General features: G+C 54.1%; 1 protein-coding gene and 1 long non-coding RNA gene across 11 annotated transcripts in view, besides 4 other annotated features; one reads left to right on the top strand and one right to left on the bottom strand.

Annotated features, from left to right (window-relative positions):
• PTPRN2 (protein tyrosine phosphatase receptor type N2) overlaps positions 1-19,334 on the bottom strand; it is a 1,048,768-nt gene that overhangs the window by 439,065 nt on the left and 590,369 nt on the right. The gene's annotated exons all lie outside the window — the stretch shown is intronic.
• Positions 4,197-5,142: an enhancer, noted in NCBI's record as "H3K27ac-H3K4me1 hESC enhancer chr7:157775009-157775954 (GRCh37/hg19 assembly coordinates)". NCBI's record gives its function as "activates a minimal SCP1, AML or CMV promoter by ChIP-STARR-seq in primed H9 embryonic stem cells {active_cell/tissue: H9 hESC(primed)}" and the evidence as "EXISTENCE:reporter gene assay evidence [ECO:0000049][PMID:30033119]".
• LOC105375613 (uncharacterized) lies at positions 9,040-10,920 on the top strand. Its single transcript, XR_928274.3, has 3 exons — positions 9,040-9,124; positions 9,947-10,021; positions 10,848-10,920. It is a non-coding gene; the product is annotated as an uncharacterized LOC105375613 (long non-coding RNA).
• Positions 11,201-11,800: an enhancer, noted in NCBI's record as "H3K4me1 hESC enhancer chr7:157782013-157782612 (GRCh37/hg19 assembly coordinates)". NCBI's record gives its function as "activates a minimal SCP1, AML or CMV promoter by ChIP-STARR-seq in naive H9 embryonic stem cells {active_cell/tissue: H9 hESC(naive)}" and the evidence as "EXISTENCE:reporter gene assay evidence [ECO:0000049][PMID:30033119]".
• Positions 12,401-13,000: an enhancer, noted in NCBI's record as "H3K27ac-H3K4me1 hESC enhancer chr7:157783213-157783812 (GRCh37/hg19 assembly coordinates)". NCBI's record gives its function as "activates a minimal SCP1, AML or CMV promoter by ChIP-STARR-seq in primed H9 embryonic stem cells {active_cell/tissue: H9 hESC(primed)}" and the evidence as "EXISTENCE:reporter gene assay evidence [ECO:0000049][PMID:30033119]".
• Positions 13,001-13,600: an enhancer, noted in NCBI's record as "H3K27ac-H3K4me1 hESC enhancer chr7:157783813-157784412 (GRCh37/hg19 assembly coordinates)". NCBI's record gives its function as "activates a minimal SCP1, AML or CMV promoter by ChIP-STARR-seq in primed H9 embryonic stem cells {active_cell/tissue: H9 hESC(primed)}" and the evidence as "EXISTENCE:reporter gene assay evidence [ECO:0000049][PMID:30033119]".

The raw sequence follows: 19,334 nt of genomic DNA on the forward strand, positions 1-19,334 counted from the left end.
GGCCAGGGCAGTTTCCCGGAAAGTCTGAAACCAGCTCTCAGGTGTGTTTTGTGGAAGACACGGCTCCTCTGGCACAGGGCTGTGAAACTAGCTCTCAGACATCGGTGAAACTCTGCCTGATCTGCTTCTCAAACAGCTCCCGTGTGGTGCTGCCGCCATCTCCGCCGTCAGGAGTGGCTTTGCAAAGACGTCTTATGCTGACCGCATGTCTTTTGGCCTTTCTTTTCAAGAGCCAAACACTTCCTCCTAGACAAGACACAGCAAGATACTATGGCTTCACGTCCTTCCTAAGCAAAGCCAGGGACCATTCGGGAAATTGTTTAGCAATGCTCTGAGTCTTTTACTCTTTTGAAAGCTTTTGAGCTCAAGACAGTTTCTGGCAAGGCAAGTCCATTCATTCACACCTAAAGCTACAGCATTTGTGAAAATAATGAAAAGGTCTTAATGCTGGCATCTTTAACAAACCCTTCAAAGTCACAAACACTCATGAAAGCAGAAGCCAGAACTAGACTTTGCTCAGAGGTGAGCAGCTGATCCAGCTCAGGGGTCCCCAGTGATGATTCTTTCTGAACAAGAGTCCTCAGCTCCCCCACTTCCCTCTGGGACTGCACACTTTCTGTTCCCTTCCTCAAGGGAAGCCTTTTCCCCTGATTTTCTGTCACAGTGAGGTTGCATTCGTGGTGAAGTCGGTCCTGGTTTTGGGGCCAACCTCACTGCTCGTGGGGCTGACAGACGAGACCCCAGGAAGCATAGCGCCATGATGGGAGAAAGACATCCCCTGGGCCTTCCTGGCGACTCACAAGGCTGGATGTTCTTGTCTACGACACCTGCCCAGCGGAAGGCCCAGAGGGGGGTGGCTCTCTGGAGTTGACTCTGCAGAGCACTGGCAAGGCCAGGATCCAGAGCTGCATACACCAAGGGCCGCCCTCCCCCAGGCCTACTGCACCTGCTTGGCCTTGCCTACCTGCCATCTCCCATCGCCCCCGCGGCCCTGGCAGGAGGGATTGTTTCTCTTTCTGTGTACAACCAGAACCTACTACAGGGCCCAGTCCACAGCAGATGGCTAATGAATGTCTGCTGAATGGATAGAAAAAAAAAGAAAAATGTTTTAAATGTTCAAAATACCTGAAGGAGATGAGAGGACATTGCTTAAGTTATCAGGGAATGAAATTCCCAATAGAAAGACATGCTAACTCTCAGTTTAGAAAATATTATCCTTTAATCCATGGTTTTCTCTGGAAAAACCACCAAAGTTAAGAACATTCCACATCTGAGAAAACACTTCACGTCGCTGTGGCTGCAGCAGCAATGGTGGTGATGACGGTGACACTGGCAACTGCACGTTGCTGAGTGTCCGCTATGCACTGGTCATGATTCTAAGTTCTCACATCACATTTAACACATGACAGTCCTCTAATGCAGACACTATGGGAGCCCACATTTTGCAGATAGGGAAACTGAGGCAGCTGGTCCAGATGACTTGGTCACTACACAGAAGAGCCATGCAGCCCGGCTCCAGAGCGACGCTGCCTCCGGTTCCTTTATCTACCTCTGGTGCTCCCGGTGGCTGACAACGCCTGCTTATGTATTCTGCTCTCTGCAGGGGGTGCCGCTGAATGCCGGTCCTTGGAGGTATGGGCTGGACTTTATGACTCGCATCCGTTGCATAGAATACAGTGCGTGATGCACAGGCATAAGAGGTCCCTCAGCTTCCTGCTCAATCGCAGCCCAGGCCAGCAAGCCAACCATACCCTCATGTGAGTCCCAGAGCCAGAGCCCCCGACTGGGCAGCTGGGGGATCTGTGACAACAGGAACGAAGCTGGTGAGTTCGGGGTAGTGTGTTGTATAGCATCAGATAACTAATAGAGTCTATTTCCTCAGCAATACAAGGATCCCCCAAAAGCCTCATAAAGATAATCACTGAGGACTCCTTAGTCTTTGAAATGTAATCCTCATTTCATTAAGTTTCAGTGACCATCACATTTTGATGACTTGGTAAAAATTCAGTACTGATGGAAATCATGACCATATTATTACATCACTGAGGTTTCTCTGCAAAACAGGAACTTGTTGATCAGGGTATTCATTTTATGCAGGCTGAGATGCAAACTTCATAGGCAGGCTGCACACCAGAGGGTAATTCAGTATCTCTGCATCTGAGTAAGAAAGTTCTTAAACCACTGTCTCTTTTTATGTCAACTTACAGGGAAGAACATTCTCCAAATATCTTAGAAATTCAGTCAAGTGTTTCAAAGCCAAACTAAATTACTCCAGCTATTTGTCGGAGTTGGAAAAGAAACTTCTAGGACTGAGCAGCCATAAGATACAGCCATAGATACCCTGTGATTGGCCGGGCACGGTGGCTCACACCTGTCATCCCAGCACTTTGGGAGGCCGAGGTGGGGAGTCACTTGAGGTCAGGACTTCGAGACCAGCCTGGCCAACATGGCAAAACCCCGTCTCTACTAAAACTATAAAAATTAGCTGGGCATGGTGGCACGTGCCTGTAGTCCCAGCTACTTGGGAGACTGAGGCAGGAGAATCACTTGAACCTGGCTGGGCGGAGGTTGCAAGTGAGCCGAGATCATGCCACTGCACTCCAGCCTGAGCAACAGAGCAAGACTCCATCTCAAAAAAATAAATAAATAAAAGATACTACGTGATTGTATTAGCATCACATCTGCCCACAGCCTTGGAAAGTAGGCAGACGCTCCTCCCTTTAAGCCTGAGGAAACCCAGGCTTAAAGAAGTGACATGATCAGCCAGTTCCCACCAAGCCCCACCTCCCACACGGGCACTGGGGACAGGGGAGGGATAAGTAGCCAGTTCCCACCAAACCCCGCCTCCCACACGGGCTCTGGGGACAGGTGGGGGGTAAGTAGCCAGTTCCCACGGAGCCCCGCCTCCCACACGGGCACTGGTGATGCCCTGCGCACTCTGGCTGTGTTGTCAGGCACTCACACAGTTAGATCAGTAACTTGCAGAAAGGCTCCTCATATACCAAAGTTGAGTGGATAAACAGCCTTTTACCCTAAGAGTGACCTCAGAGTTTGCAAGAACCCACACATTTCTTGGTCCTTATACAAATTCAGAGGAACTGCAGACAGTGGTGTCACCAGAACCATTTAGACAATAATGTGTGTGGACGAGACATGGAGAAGGCTTCCATAGTCGGTGATGCTATTCCAGGACAGGTGAAACTGCTCAAACTCCTGCTATTCCAGGACAGGTGAAACTGCTCAAACTCCTGCTATTCCGGGACGGGTGAAACTGCTCAAACTCCTGCTATTCCAGGACAGATGAAACTCAACTTCAACTAAACCAATCAATATATTCAACACACCAACACACACACAAATTTGACTCCAGTCATTGATAAAATAGTAAAAACAATAGTTTCTTTCCTGTTTTAAAAGGAGCTTTTCCCTTTCATTCAGTTAATTTAACAGGGAGTGATTCCATTTTTTTTTGTAGTAATTCAGTTTACTTTATTTTAAAAAATAACTCAGTGTACCAAATGATTTAATGACTTCAATGTATCAAAATTTTATTGGCTCATAACCTACATCTATTTCATAAAATAAGGTTTGATCTAAAATGACCCTTGGGCGTTTCCAAGTTAATTAATTAGCAATACTTCGGAAAGGCACAAGCTATGATGTGAAGGCTTTGAGTTAATATAACACCAGTTCCCTATCATATCAGCCCATTCTTCAAGGGCTTTGCAAAGCAGCAGTTCTCCAAATGCAGCCCTTACGCCAGGTGCCACCTGGAGGTTGTTAGAATTTGTAGAATGTGGGGTCCCCCCAAACCCCTGAGTCATAAAGATGAGGAGGGGAATGCAGAGTGCAGGGTACCGCCCAGAACCCCTGAGTCATAGAGACAAGGAGGGGAATGCAGAGTGTGGGGTTCCCCCCCAAACCCCAAATCATAGAGATGAGGAGGGGAATGCAGAGTGCAGGGTCCCCTCTAAACCCCGAGTCACAGAGACAAGGAGGGGAATGCAGAGTGCAGCGTCCCCCATAAACCCCGAGTCACAGAGATGAGGAGGGGAATGCAGAGTGCAGGGTCCCCCCTAAACCCCGAGTCACAGAGATGAGGAGGGGAATGCAGAGTGCGGGGTCCCCCCAAACCCCGAGTCATAGAGCCAAGGAGGGGAATGCAGAGTGCAGGGTCCCCCCAAACCCTGAGTCATAGAGCCAAGGAGGGGAATGCAGAGTGCAGGGTCCCCCCAAACCCTGAGTCACAGAGACGAGGAGGGGAATGCAGAGTGCAGGGTCCCCCCTAAACCCCAAGTCAAAGAGACGAGGAGGGGAATGCAGAGTGCAGGGTCCCCCCAAACCCTGAGTCATAGAGATGAGGAGGGGAATGCAGAGTGCAGGGTCCCCCCAAACCCTGAGTCATAGAGACGAGGAGGGGAATGCAGAGTGCAGGGTCCCCCCAAACCCTGAGTCATAGAGACGAGTAGGGGAATGCAGAGTGCAGGGTCCCCCCTAAACCCCGAGTCACAGAGACGAGGAGGGGGATGCAGAGTGCAGAGTCCCCCCAAACCCCGAGTCACAGAGATGGAGGGGAATGCAGAGTACCGGGTTCCCCCCTAAACCCCGAGTCACAGAGACGAGGAGGGGAATGCAGAGTGCAGGGTCCCCCCCAAACCCCGAGTCACAGAGACGAGGAGGGGAATGCAGAGTGCAGGGTCCCCCCTAAACCCCGAGTCACAGAGATGAGGAGGGGAATGCAGAGTACCGGGTTCCCCCCTAAACCCCGAGTCACAGAGATGAGGAGGGAATGCAGAGTACCAGGTTCCCCCCAAACCCCGAGTCACAGAGACGAGGAGGGGAATGCAGAGTGCAGGGTCCCCCCCAAACCCCGAGTCACAGAGACGAGGAGGGGAATGCAGAGTGCAGGGTCCCCCCCAAACCCCGAGTCACAGAGACGAGGAGGGGAATGCAGAGTGCAGGGTCCCCCCCAAACCCCGAGTCACAGAGACGAGGAGGGGAATGCAGAGTGCAGGGTCCCCCCCAAACCCCGAGTCACAGAGACGAGGAGGGGAATGCAGAGTGCAGGGTCCCCCCCAAACCCCGAGTCACAGAGACGAGGAGGGGAATGCAGAGTGCAGGGTCCCCCCCAAACCCCGAGTCACAGAGACGAGGAGGGGAATGCAGAGTGCAGGGTCCCCCCCAAACCCCGAGTCACAGAGACGAGGAGGAGAATGCAGTGCAGGGTCCCCCCTAAACCCCGAGTCATAGAGATGAGGAGGGGAATGCAGAGTACTGGGTTCCCCCCTAAACCCCGAGTCATAGAGATGAGGAGGGGAATGCAGAGTGCGGGGTCTCCCCCAAAACCCCGAGTCACAGAGACGAAGAGGGTGCTGATCACATCCCACCCCAGCTTCCAGGTGCTTCTGACACAGCTGAAACCTGAACCCATGACTTTCAGGGCTGTGGCCTCCCCCGCCCCCGCCCACATGTGTCCACCAGCCCTGGGAGTGAGTCTGAGGCAGGGATTCTCAGGGACGCTGCCTGCATGCCCCGGAGGAGTAGCGTGTGTGTGTGCACACGTGAGCTTGTGAGTGTAGGCTTGAGACCGTGCTGCCGACCCAGTCCCTGGAATCCCTGTGCTGAGTTGTTCTCATGTGGCTGCTGGCCCAGGGAGGAGCGTTACGGACAACTGTTAAGTGGAAATTGTCTGGACGTAATGCAGTTCATCAGCTCAAAAGCTGTGGGTCTGGCTGTGTGAGCCAACAGCGCTAGTGTCCTGGTGCCTGGACACACGGATGTTCTGGGGCTGTTGCTGAAACTGCGGCACAGTAAGCCCTGCAGCCTCCCTGGAATCCCTGAGGAGGAGCCGGCTCACCCAGCGCCGCGAGCATCTCTTCCTGACTCGCAGGGGGCCCGTGAGATGGAGAATCTGCCTGACAGGGTGCACTTGCACAGCCAAGCACCAAGAAGGAAAATGGCATTTCATTAGCCATGGAGACAGCCGGGAACCCAGCAGCCTTCTTTATTCTGGCTCATATTTTCTCATCATTCTCAGGGAGTTGTCCAGGTAACAATGACCTTGTGTAAACCAGCGTCCCTGCCTGAGTCCTCTTCACCTGAAACCACCGCCCCACGCCAGGCTCCACCTCCCCACGCCAGGCTCCACCCCCCACGCCAGGCTCCACCCCATCCCACGCCAGGCTCCACCCCATCCCACGCCAGGCTCCACCCCATCCCACGCCAGGCTCCACCCAATCCCACGCCAGGCTCCACCCCCCACGCCAGGCTCCACCCCCCCACGCCAGGCTCCACCCCATCCCACGCCAGGCTCCACGCCAGGCTCCACCCCCCCCACGCCAGGCTCCACCCCATCCCACGCCAGGCTCCACCCAAGCCAGCGGCACCGGTTCTGGCTGGAAGGTTCCCAAACCTAGGCCAGGGTGTGAATGCCAGGGGCCCTGTGAGTGGTGAGTGATGGTTGCTGGGTGCTGGGGGCTGGCGCTGTTCCCGCCGCGCCCTCCATGAAGCTGACTCTCAGTCCTGCTCTCTGACACCGGGCTGTGCTCAGCAGCCACGAGCTGACCACGCGGTGAGGCTGTTCACTTTTCTCCCTGACTCCAGCTCTCCCCACATGCAGCTCATCCCCGACATGGGCTCTTATCCCACCAACCGCTTCTAAAGACCTGCAGAAGCTCCCTAGTCACAGGACGTGGCGAGCCCAATACTCACGTCTGCCCCTGACTTCTGCACTAGGCCCTGCCTCAGCCACTGGCCTCCTGCCCCTCACTGTCGGCCTCAGGCCCAGGCTCTCTGTGTAGAGGCCTCCTGGCTTCCCCACCCCGTGCTGCTCCCCACCCGGTGCTACTCCCCTGGCTGAGCGCCCACACTTCTTTCCCCTTTTCCAAATCCCACCTGCAGGTGGTGGTCTCTAGCACTCCTCTTGGTTCATGGGCCTTGACTGACAGCTTTCTCCTGCAGCCATCCTCTCCACAATTCTGGGAGCGTCGACTGTGCTCACTCAACACTCCCTTTAACAAAGTGACATCAGATGTTTGGGCCCTACTTGCATTTAAGCCATCCAGTGCATTCCACATAAAAAGCGTGCACCTGGAGGAAACTAAATAATCACAACCAATCACTCTTTTTTTAGAAAAAAGCAGCAGCTCTCTCAATGTAGACCAATTTATCGGTCTAAACTAGAGAGACCGGGCAAGCCACTTCCATCTTGCGAGTTTAGCATATTTGCCTGTTGACACCTACACTTGGAGGAAGCCATTCTGTGTGTGTGGTGTGCCTTCACAAGTAATTTCTATGGAAAACAGCCGTCAGACAGTCATCCTGGCCCAAGGTGACCTCATTACCAGAATTTGTTCTAGTTGTCATTAGACATATCACACTATGTCACTCAAAATGGGAAAGAAAGAGAAGATACTGACATGCCGCCCCAGTGATTAGAGATGAAAATGTAGTTATACCATATATGATCCCTGCTTGGAGACTATACGGATAGGGTTTAAGATTCAGGCCCCCCTCAGATCCATCACTGTGGTCCTGAAGCCTCTGTCCTTCTTCTGTTCTTTTAAACTTCTCTGTGTAGATACAGCAAGTGTGTTTTCTACTCACTGCACAGCCAGCGCTGCTCTTGAACAAACTCCTGAGGGAGGTGCACGGAAACCATGCATCCAAATCCGGAGAGCAGGGAGACCAGCCGGATAGCCCACCTGGCTGACGAGACCCGGCCTCGCTCAGAAAGCTCCTCCAAGATGCCACCGCGTGTGAAATGCTTGGGGTTGAATCTCGAGAGCAGGGAGACCAGCCAGACAGCCCACCTGGCTGACGAGACCCGGCCTCGCTTAGAAAGCTCCTCCAAGATGCCACCGCATGTGAAATGCTTGGGGTTGAAATGTAACGAATCTCTCACTACTGACAAGAGAAAGGCCAGAACACAAACACACTTCCTGCTTCCAGATGGATGGAGGTGGGAGGAGGGAGGGGTTCTGACCATCTTCTCTGGTGCTCAGTGAGGCAATAGCATGAGATAGATACCCTCATCTACAGCCCCGCTCTCGTATGTCCGGGGGAAGCTATGGAGAGGGTGCTGCAAAGCTGCCAGCAAGTATGTCTGCCTCTGACGAGTCACTGTTGGATGTGAGGCAACGTGAAGGCTCCACCACTAGGACCCAGGCAAGACTGCCAAGCGGATGAGGCTTCGCTTTAGGACCATGGACTCTGGCGGCAGATAATGGCCTGAGAGGTCAGCTAGTCCAATTGCTTCCTTGTAGACACGCAGAAACTGACGCCCAGAGAGGCAGGGCACCCCGTGTGTGGTCACCGTGGTCAGTGGCAGAGGTGGGGCTGGAGGTCAGAACTGGCTGCATCCGTCTCCATCTCCCCAAGCACAGGCCATGCCTGCCTCTCCCAGGTGGCATCTCCTCTCTGTGGTCCTTTCCCTCCTGCCTGCCTTTCTGCGACATCTGCACTATTCAGACATCACGCTTCCTTTCGTCCTCACTCAAAATTCCCATTCACTCAGCATTACCACGGTTTGATATTAGGACTGCTTGATTCAAGCCAATAGTGCTAAATTAGAAATAATGAAGGCTTCACTCTTCCACGGGGTTCTGCCCTTGGAAGAACTAATGAAACCCAAGGACCATCCAGTTGGCAGGACTGGAAGTAACTGGGCAGAGGAGACATTTTGGAGCAGGTGGTCGGTGCCCACCCACTGACAGGAGCTGCCGGTTTCTGACCCACTCCACCCCTCCTCCAGGACCCTCCAGAGTGAATCTGGAGCGAGGGGGCCCAGTGACTTTGGGGTCATTTGCACGGTATCAGCTATAGCCGCAGTGAGAGGGAGGCTGCTGGACACGCTGGGGTTCACCTGTGTCCCAGGAGAACCCCGCTTTAGGATATAACGGGTTCATGCACTGGAGTAGCTGCCGGTACACATCTAGGGAGTGATGATCCCCCTCCACCAGCCAGTGGGGAATGAGCCCGTGAAGGTCACAGCCAGCCATGAAACAGCTGCACTGCCCCAGCACGCCGCCCACGCTTGGTCGGCAACACAGAGATTCCATTTCTTCCTGGGATTAGGAAGCACGAAGTGTCCAGATCTGCTTCTGAAATCTCTTCCTCCCTTAAGGTAAGGTGCTGTGTGGAGCTTACTGGAACCTAAACGGGGGCAAGATGACCGGTCACTAAAGGGGGCGAGGTTACCAGTCACTAAAGGGAAAGGGGGCGTGATGACCAGTCACTAGTGGGGGTGAGACAACCGGTCACTAACGGGGGCAATATGACCCCTCACTAATGGGGTGATCGGTCACTAAACGGGGTGAGATGACAGGTCATTAATGGGGGCGTAGTGTCCGGTCACTAATAGGGTGTGATGACCTGTCAGTCATTATCTCTTGCATAAGAGACTTCCCAGGGGCAGAGCAGACCCGGTGGACAGCAGGAGCTGCCTGGTCCCACTGCTGAGTTTTATGTCTGGATGCTGAATAGCTGGAGGAAGCGGCCTGCTGGTTTTGTTCACACTGGGTGAACAGTTGGAATACAGGTTCCTCGGGCCTGTCCTAAATGCTATCAGTCTTTCTCTAGAGATGGGGCAGTTATTATGCAGTGTGGGATCCACAGTTACAGAGCGGATGGGGGACTAAGAACATCCATTCTGCAGAAAGTGGGACATTCAGGGCAATAGGGAATCTGCTTTTCAATGCAGCATCCCAGTGGGGTGGCCCCATCACTTCTGACACCTCCATCACTGATGCCCCCAGCTCTCCCCACACCTGCCATTCCCCACGTTAATGCAGCAGGGATCCAGAGAAGGGTCTCCGGACATCACTGATGCCCCCAGCTCTCCCCACACCTGCCATTCCCTGCGTTACTGCAGCAGGGATCCAGAGAACACTGTCCGGACATGCAGGGGACCGGAGTCCTCACCACTCCCCCTTTTGTCTTCTCCAAGCCAGGGTCAAAGCTGCCTCATGCAGACGGAGAGGAGAAGCTGCGTTCCCTGCCTTTCCCGAATTGTTTGTGGACTGTGAGTGATGCATGTCCTGTGGCACCATGGGAGCACCAGGGAACACCATGCTGTCTCTCCCCGGAGCCCCCACTGGCGTCCTGGCCATTTCCAGCTTGTCTCCCAAAGACAGGCTTCTTTGTGCTTTGGTCACACGGAGAATTATCAGTGCAGTCTCTGTCTCTCTCTCTCATTTCCCCCTAAATTGCCACATGTTGCAACTCCCAGGCGTGCCCCCAGCTCTCCTGAGGCTGGTTTGCAGTGGCCGGGCCCAGCTAAAGCAACTGAACCTCCAGAGCAGAGGACAGTGTCCTGCCTGCACGTCTTGACATGGCCCCACAGGAGGGTTCCCTGTCTTTCACGTGCTGATAGACCAAACACACCAAACGCATTCCCGGGCAGGTGTGTACATCAGAACAGTGATGAATCAGGGACCCTTCTTAGTGCTACTATAAGTAACAACAGTGAGTCAGACGGGTGCAAACCCTTTGGAAGACTCAGTCTGCAAGCCCCAGGGAGCACAGGGGGGCTGGAGGGAACCGGGGGAGGGATGCACAGGCGAGAAATGCCCATGACCCGGTCCACAGGTCATGCACGTCCACACTTTCTAAAAAACCACCTACAAGAAAGGGGTTGTTTCCTGGCCCCCAGTGGGGTGCAGAATGTCAGTGCTGGGCTGCACCCTGGGCAGGGCTGCTCTGGGCAGCATCGCCACACCCGTGTCCCATTCTTGGGGTGCATCCCCTTCTCACATCTGTGTCTAAAGCCAGGAATGGGCAGTGTGACCTGAGGAAAATCAGGGACACCCTCTGTGTCCTCATATGCAAACATGTCTCTTTCATGCCAGTTAAATGAAGAAAAAGGCAAGACCTAAATCCTGAACTCCTACCGCTATAACACATTCCTCTGCGCTAAGGAACTGACATTCTAAAGGTGCAGATACCCCCGGGCTGGAGGCTGAATGGGCAAGAAGATCCCGGCACAGCTCAGGCTGAGTCGAAAGACCGTGGTTTTTGGCCAGGCACAGTGGTTCATGCCTGTAATCCCAGCACTTTGGGAGGCTGAGGCAGGCAGATCACTTAAGCCCAGGAGTTTGAGACCAGCCTGGGCAACATGGTGAAACTCTGTCTCTACTAAAAATATAAAAGTTAAGCTAGGCGTGGTGGCGCATGCCTGCAGTCCCAGCTACTCGAGAGGCTGAGGTGGGAGGATCGCCTGAGCCCAGGAGGTCTAAGCTGCAGTGAGCCGAGATTGCACTACTGCACTCCAGCCTGGGTGACAGAGCAAGACCACACCTTAGAAAAAAGAAAAGAAAAGAGAAAAAGAAAAGAAAGAAAGACAGCGGTTTTCATAAGGGGGTAAGACTCAGAGGGCAGAAGAAAGCGGAGTCTTGTGGGGGGCACCATCTGTGGCTGGGTCGGAGGGACGAGGGCTGCTGTAGCCCTTTCCTTTCTGCACCGCTCTGACCAAGTGCGTCTAAGGGGTGGAGGGATGAGGGGGGTGGGTGCCTTCGTGGCTGCTTAGCCATGATTCTGCTGGACACCATGGTCTGGGGGAGGCAGCGGGGGCGGGTGCCACCTCACCTTCGGGTACCTGACGGGCCGGAATGACACATCCTTGTCATGTCCACCCCACTTCACAGATGGGAAACCGGGGCTCAGGTAACTCAAGGGAAGCAGCATTGAGAGGTCAGGGCAGGCCTTCTGCCCAATCCCCCGCCTGCTGGCTGTGTTCCTTCCACACTCGGCCAAGGTCTCTGCCCCCGCATCCCACCCCGCCCTGCCCAGGGCTGCGCTGACCTGCCTTCTCCCCCTCCTCCTCATTAGCTGCAAAGAAAACTCTTCTGGGGGCTGCCAAATGCAGAGCTGCTTCGTGTCCCTTCTTTGACAGTAAAAGTTGTTTTCTTGGAAATAAATCAAATTTGTATTTCTCAACAAAACCTGCCCTCCATCCCTCTATGAAGAAAAATGCAAGTTGCTCTTCTGCGCTCCAAATACACCGAGACGAAAACAAGCCCAGGTGAAGCTGCAGCTGGGGACACGAGTTAATGTGAGTGCGAGCCCAGGGCAGAGCGGGCCCAGATAAATAATTCATGAGCGCCACCGGGGAAGACCGGGCACTCGTGGAGTTCAACAGATCATAAGCAGGATCCAGGGTCGTGTAGCGACACAGCTTCCCAAGCAGGCGAGTGACCTGGAGCACAGAGGGGAGGGACGGGGACAGGTGCAGCAGAGATTGGGCACGGGCCAGGAATGCATCACGGCACCTGCGCACAGGGGTGGCCTCCAGGGGCTCCAAGTCCTCTGGGATCCAGGTTCTCCTTCCTTCAGGGCACCCCCACCCACCCTCTCCCCAAGGCTTGGGCCACACTCCATGCCACCATGCCCAACGGTCCCCGCCCTGCACCCACCTCTGGCAAGTTCTGGGCAGGGGGAGAGCGACACAAGGCAAGGGAGGAGACATCGGTGGATGGGGGAGCAGGGCAGGCTGGGGGTCAGGGCTCAGGGCGGTGCTGACAGTAGGACATGCTGGTCCCCTTCCCAGTGAAGTCCCAGGAAACAGCCTCTCATGTTGCTGGGCCGGTGCTCAGGAGCTGGGGCTGCCTGGGGCACAAAGCACGTGGACTAGGACACTGGAATGTCACCGAGCTTCCCTCCGATACAGTGGGAGGGAGGACTTGGCGCACAGTGGGTGAGTGAATGGACAGGCAGGAGTGACCAGCCCAGTCCCAGCGCTTACCGAGGAGGACTGGGGAGGGGGGCCGAGTCTCCAGTCAGGCAGAGAGAGCTGCTGGTGTCAACCCTGCCAGCAAGATGTGCCCCAGATCCCCAGAGTCCAGCGAACTTCCCTGGCCCTGGCCAGAGTCCACGTCTGACTCTGAAGGTGTGCGGGGTGTGGACATGAGGGCACTGCTCATCTCCACTGCCAGGCTTTGGGGTGTGGATGCAGGGGCACTGCTATCTCCACTGCCAGGGCTGCTGGATATGCTCCAGCCTGTCACAAGCCAAGGCGACCGAGCTTCCCTGAGAGGCACCCAGCCTGATGCAGCACAGGGCAACAGGCTGGGGCATGACGGGCTCTGCTGTTTCTCAGTCTCCCTGTGATGGGAGTCGCAATCCCATCCTCGGAGGGTGGCTAAGGGGATCCCCAAGAAAGTACCCGGACAATTCCTGCCACAGAGACACTTTAAAAAGGGCAATGGCCGGCATTTCTGAGGTTTCCTTTTCCTAACCAGGAACAGATTCTCTTTGACAAATGGGTCTTGCCACTTGTTATGAACCCAATGCCGTGGGCCCGGCCTGCACTTCCTGGTGGAGTCCTGGCCCCACCCAGCTCCTCTACACGTCCTCTTCACTGAAGGAAACTCACAGAGCCCTGGTGGCACCGGGTGCTGCCCGTGCAGGGCACAGAAACTCAGGGCCGGTTTCCCTCTGGCTGAGGGAGGGTGAGGGAGGGCGAGGGAGGGCGGACCTGTTTCCTGTTAAACCCTGGAGCTAGCACAGACTTGCAGCCTGCCTGGGACCCAGTGAGGATCTGTGGAGATGGGCTACAGGGAGTGTTGGGGTGAGAGCTGCACGGGGCTGTTCTCAGCAGATCCCAGCAAGTGACACACCCAAGGCTGGGGACCCAGGACAAGGCCAAGGGCACCTAAGCACCAAGCAAGAGTGAGATTAGACCCTCCCAGAAGTGATGCACCCAAGGCTGGGGACCCAGGACGAGGCCAAGGGCACCTAAGCGCTGAGCAGGAGTGAGATCAGACCCTCCCGGGGCTCAAAAAAGGCTCCCAGCATCGGTCACAGCCCGTGCCCCTCGCAGGCCTGCATGACAGTCAGGGCCTCCATCACCATCAGGCCAGCACAGGCACAGCCCAGACATGCAGGAGGCTCCAGCCAGTATTTGAGAACAGACGCCTGAGTGCCGGGACTCGGCCCACAGCCCATTCGCCCAGGGAGACTGGTGGTCCCCATGTGCCACCCGAGCTGTCAGGCACTCAGTATGTTTTTAAAGCCTCACTTTTTAATTATATCATCTAATACATGGAAAATTGTGTATCACTACTGTAAATGAAAAGCAGAATCATTGCTGTGAGAAGGCCACCCTAAAGGTGAGTTCCATGAAAACAAAACACCCAAATTTTGTTCATTTAAACGTGATCAAAGACTGCATGGCGACACGTTCTCTGGAAAGAGGGGCTGCTCATGGCCCCGAGTCTCTCGCTCTCCAGGATGAGTTGGGAGTGGAATCGCCATGGCCACGGAGTCCCTTGCAGCCTCTGAGCTTCTGCCTGTGGGAAGAGCTGGCAGGTTGGGGGACCGGCCACACGGTCTGTACTGAGTGGGTCTCTCAGCACCACCTCATTCTAACAGGAGGGCTCCTGAAATCAGCGCCTTATGGTGCTAAGGTTTTAATAACACATTAGAATACACAGAACTAAATAAAAATAAAACAAAACAAAATAAAACACAAAAGCTGTAGAGGATTTTCTGCTCTGGAAAACACCAGTGCACACAAGCCTTTATCTGGGGGTCCCCTGGAGGGGTTGGGGTGGCCCAACAGAGAGCAGGGAGCAGAGGCAGATGTGGGGGGTCACACTCCACCAGGAGCCCCCAGGCACCGTGGCCACAGGACAGCCGAGCTTGTGGACTGTCCTCCAGAGTCCAGCTGGAATCACTGCCCACGCCTAAATCTAAGAAGAAGTATGCGATGGGAAGACCTTTTGGCTCCTTCTGCTCAGGAAGCATAGACAGTATCTTCAGTTTTGCCCACGCAGGCCCCTTGAAGGGGACACACAGACGCCAGGAGACAGACGCGTGGCGGCCGGGTCACTCCCAGTGGGGAGCTGTGGTTTGGGCGCCTGAGCCTGGAGCCCCCGTCTTACTGGGAGGTGTTCCCTTATGACGGAGCCCACGGGGTCTGCCCAGGTCACAGTCCCCTCCCACAGGCCACGCTTCAGGAGGATCATCGCAGGTGGGTGGCCTCTATTGAGGTGTGAGCTGCAACTTTCCATTTTCTGATCACGAGCTCTAACTCATTTTCCCACAACATATTATGGGCGGCTCATAAGATTTTCTATCAAAACGTAAATAGATTCGGATTTCTCTGAAGAGCAGGTTTCCTATATCGGTGCGTACCTGTCCGTGTTCACATTAAGACCAAGGACAAAAGAGGAAAATAGATTTTTTCCTAGGTTGTATGACTTTATGAAATTAAAAAAAAAAACCACCTAAGCAGCCCTGAGCCTCCGCAAAAAAAGACCCCACGGGGACATCCCGTACCTGGTCAGAGCCAGGACATACCCCATGTGCTTTTTTTTCCTCCCCTTTCAGAAATGTAATTTCCATGACGCGTCCACCCAGGGCCAGGAACCACAGAAGAGAAAGAGCAGTGGGAAGCTTCCAGAAACTCCCATGAGGGCTCAGGAAACATGGGGAGGTGGCGATCGGAATCATCTGCCAGGCCTGGAGAGCCAGAGGTCGGCCAGCCGGGAGGTGTCCTGTCCCTGAGTCCCCGCCCTGGCTCCACTTTCATGCAAGAGAGGGGCAGGGTGGGCCACAGAGCTAGGTCCTGGAGAGCCACCCCCAACCCAGCACGGGTCCAGGACAGCAGGAAGAACCCATCCTAGGTCGGAAGTTCAAATCTCTGATTTGAGATGAGTGTTGACCCTACGGGGGTTGAAGGCCTCTCTGGAGAGCGTCGATTGAGCAGACAGGCCCAGAGCTGGACGATCTCTCCCTAAAATGCCAATGGCCTCGGAAGACAAAACCCAAGGGGGGTCAGTGGCCCCCCATGCACTGAGCTCACTGGGTCTCCCTGCGCCCGTGTCTGGAGTCATACACAATGCTGTTATTTTACTGCCTAATTTCAAAATGCACGGCTGCAGTTTACACCCTGAGCTGTGGCTTGAATAATTTATCGCAAAGTCCCTGTGTCAGTGACCAGTGTGTTGGGTGTTGCTTTGAAACCCACAGAGAAGACCTAATGTATCACGTTGTTTTCCTCCTCTTTAAATATTATTGACACAGCGATACTTCACTACAGGCCATTAATACTGGTCTGCTTCTAGAGGAGAAAATACCGATGCAGGTCAGGGCAGGTGACTCGCTCTGAGCCACTTAACACTGGGTGGCAATGGTAACCCGCCACTGCTTCCTTTTTAATTTAATCCACGAAGCAGCACAGCAAAGTTTCCTCATATTTCTCCTCTTAAAGCTGACAGAAAATAACCAGCAGAAAACAAACAACACATCTTAGGGAAGGGAATTTAGACAAGGACAGAGACCAGGGAGCGAGAGGAAGATGCCTGTGTTTCCCACAGTCATTGGGATGAATCTGAGGCAGCGTTAGAGCGAGCGCCTTCCACTTTGGCCCACAGCTCCTTGTTCCTAAAATCAGCACCGCATCCCCAGCTTACAGCTCCTTGTTCCTAAAATCAGCACCGCGTCCCCAGCTTACAACTCCTTGTTCCTAAATCAATGCCGCGTCCCCAGCTTACAACTCCTGGTTCCTAAAATCAACGCCGTGTCCCCAGCTTACAGCTCCTTGTTCCTAAAATCAACGCCGCGTCCCCAGCTTACAGCTCCTTGTTCCTAAAATCAACGCCGTGTCCCCAGCTTACAACTCCTTGTTCCTAAATCAACGCTGCGTCCCCAGCTTACAACTCCTTGTTCCTAAATCAACGCCGTGTCCCCAGCTTACAGCTCCTTGTTCCTAAAATCAACGCCGCGTCCCCAGCTTACAGCTCCTTGTTCCTAAAATCAACGCCGTGTCCCCAGCTTACAACTCCTTGTTCCTAAATCAACGCTGCGTCCCCAGCTTACAACTCCTTGTTCCTAAATCAACGCCGTGTCCCCAGCTTACAACTCCTGGTTCCTAAAATCAACGCCGTGTCCCCAGCTTACAGCTCCTTGTTCCTAAAATTCAACGCCGTGTCCCCAGCTTACAGCTCCTTTGTTCCTAAAATCAATGCCACGTCCCCAGCTTACAACTCCTTGTTCCTAAATCAACGCTGCGTCCCCAGCTTACAACTCCTTGTTCCTAAATCAACGCCACGTCCCCAGCTTACAACTCCTTGTTCTAAAATCAACGCTGTGTCCACAGCTTACAACTCCTTGTTCCTAAATCAACGCTGCATCCCCAGCTTACAACTCCTTGTTCCTAAAATCAACGCCGCATCCCCAGCTTATAGCTCCTTGTTCCTAAATCAATGCCACGTCCCCAGCTTACAGCTCCTTGTTCCTAAATCAACACTGTGTCCCCAGCTTACAAACGCTGTGTCACACTCTACGGTTTCTATCTGGTTTTATTTTCATCCAACTCTCTCCAGGCCTGCCTGTCACTCAGGGAGAGATCTCACCAGTCCAGCCACATCTGGGAGATAAAAATGCCCAATTCAATGAGCATTTGTTAAACACACCCCAAGGTTTGTTGCCATGAATTGTAAATTCCTGGAAGGCAGCAAACCTGCAGTCTTAGAGTAGGATGGGGCCTTTCAGCCCCTGAACGTGCATCTGGGTGTGGACCAAGGGCTTGCCAGCCCCGCAAAGGGCATGGGCAGCCTGCTTTGCCTCAGCGTCCACATGAGCAGGCGGCGTAGCACCTCCTGTCAGAGGGGAGGATCCACGTGTGCATGTGGAGGTGCAGAAGGAGGGGTCATCCATGGAAATCTGACTTCTACGGCAAACTCAAGTTTAAGCAAAAGTAGACTACCCTTCGGAAATGCACACTGGAACGATAGCAAAACATGAAATCGACGTAAGTGTCCATCAGTGGATGAATGGATAAAGAAAACGTGGTGTGTCCACACAATGGAATACTACTCAGCTATGAAAAAGGATGAAGTTCTGTCTGTTGCGCACAATGGAATACTATTCAGCCATAAAAAAGGATGAAGTCCTGTCTGTTGCACACAATGGAATACTATTCAGCCATAAAAAAGGATGAAGTCCTGTCTTTTGCACACAATGGAATACTATTCAGCCATAAAAAAGGATGAAATCCTGTCTTTTGCAGCAACATGGATGGAACTGGAGCCATTATCTTGAGTGAAACAATGCAGAATCAGAAAGTCAAATACTGCACATTCACACATTTAAGTGGGAGCCAAATTACATGCGTGCATGGATGTAGCACATGGGACAATGGACGCTGCAGACCCGGGACGCTGGGAAGGGAGAGGAGGGTGAGAATTCGCCGCTCGGGCCCATCTATGTTATTCAGTGATGGCTACACTCAAAGCCCAGACTTCACCACTACACAACAGATCCACGTAGTAAGACCGCACTTGGACCCCAAACATTCATACAGTAACAAATATTACTAAGAGAACCTACTGGTCAGATAGATCTTTGCTTTCCTGCCAGTCAGTGCCAGGGGAGCTTTGGTCTCTCACACGGCTTAGAGCCCTTCCTTCCAAGGCGGGCAGCTCCTGCGTGCACATGGGGGCTCCCACCACCCCGAGGGCCGGTCCCCCATGCCTGTTGGAGGGTGGTGTGGGTTTGCTCTGGCTGGTGTGGACAAGCCCTTAACTGAGAACAGGGTCAGGGGACCTTCTAGCTTTCTTCTCTAGCTTTCTTCGTCTCTAGCTTTTCTTTTTTTAAGGCATTTATTGCTCCTGAAAATAATCTGTGCTTGCAAAGAAAAAAAGTCATTTTGTTTCAAATCCAGTGATAAAGAATGGATCTTTTCTTCTCCTAGCAAACCATTTTCCCTTGCCCCAGGGGACCATGTATGACCTGAGCCATCTTCCCCCACGCCAGGCCCTCAGGAGACCCAACCTCCCTGACACATCCTAGGCCCGGGGCGGGTGTGGGGAGGCACGAGCTTCTCTGGAAACCAGCAGCTGTCGCCTGCTTGCCCATCTGTCACCAAGCTCTAAGTCCTGCTGTCTGCTCAACAGGCATGAGGAGCAGTCCCACAGTGCAATGAGGCCGGCACGGGGGCCCAGGGAGGGCTCGGCCCCAGGTCCCCTGACGTGGGGTGTCTGCCCTCCCCAGGAGGACGGGGTTGGGGGCACATCTGATGGGGCCTGGGTCATGCCTGCCAGTTCTGCACAGAGCTGCCTCCTGAGTGCCCACGTGCCCTGCGGGGCTGCCTGGCGGCTCCATTTGCTCTGTGTCTGTGGAGCAACTGCGCCCCTGGGCCCGCCTGGCCTGGGCTCCCACTGAGGTCACAGCACCTGGGTCATTCAGCTCCAAGGATGGGGCAGGCCCCACAGGGCAGGACCCCCTCCAGCAGTTCCTGCCTGTCCTGGGAAGGCCACGGAGACAGACCCTTGACTTCAGGACAGGGGGCTGCTCTTTCCATAAATCCCCCTGGCTGGCGCCTGGAGCCCAGG

The sequence above is a fragment of the Homo sapiens genome, chromosome 7 (genome assembly GCF_000001405.40).
Source record: "Homo sapiens chromosome 7, GRCh38.p14 Primary Assembly".
NCBI lineage: Eukaryota > Metazoa > Chordata > Mammalia > Primates > Hominidae > Homo > Homo sapiens.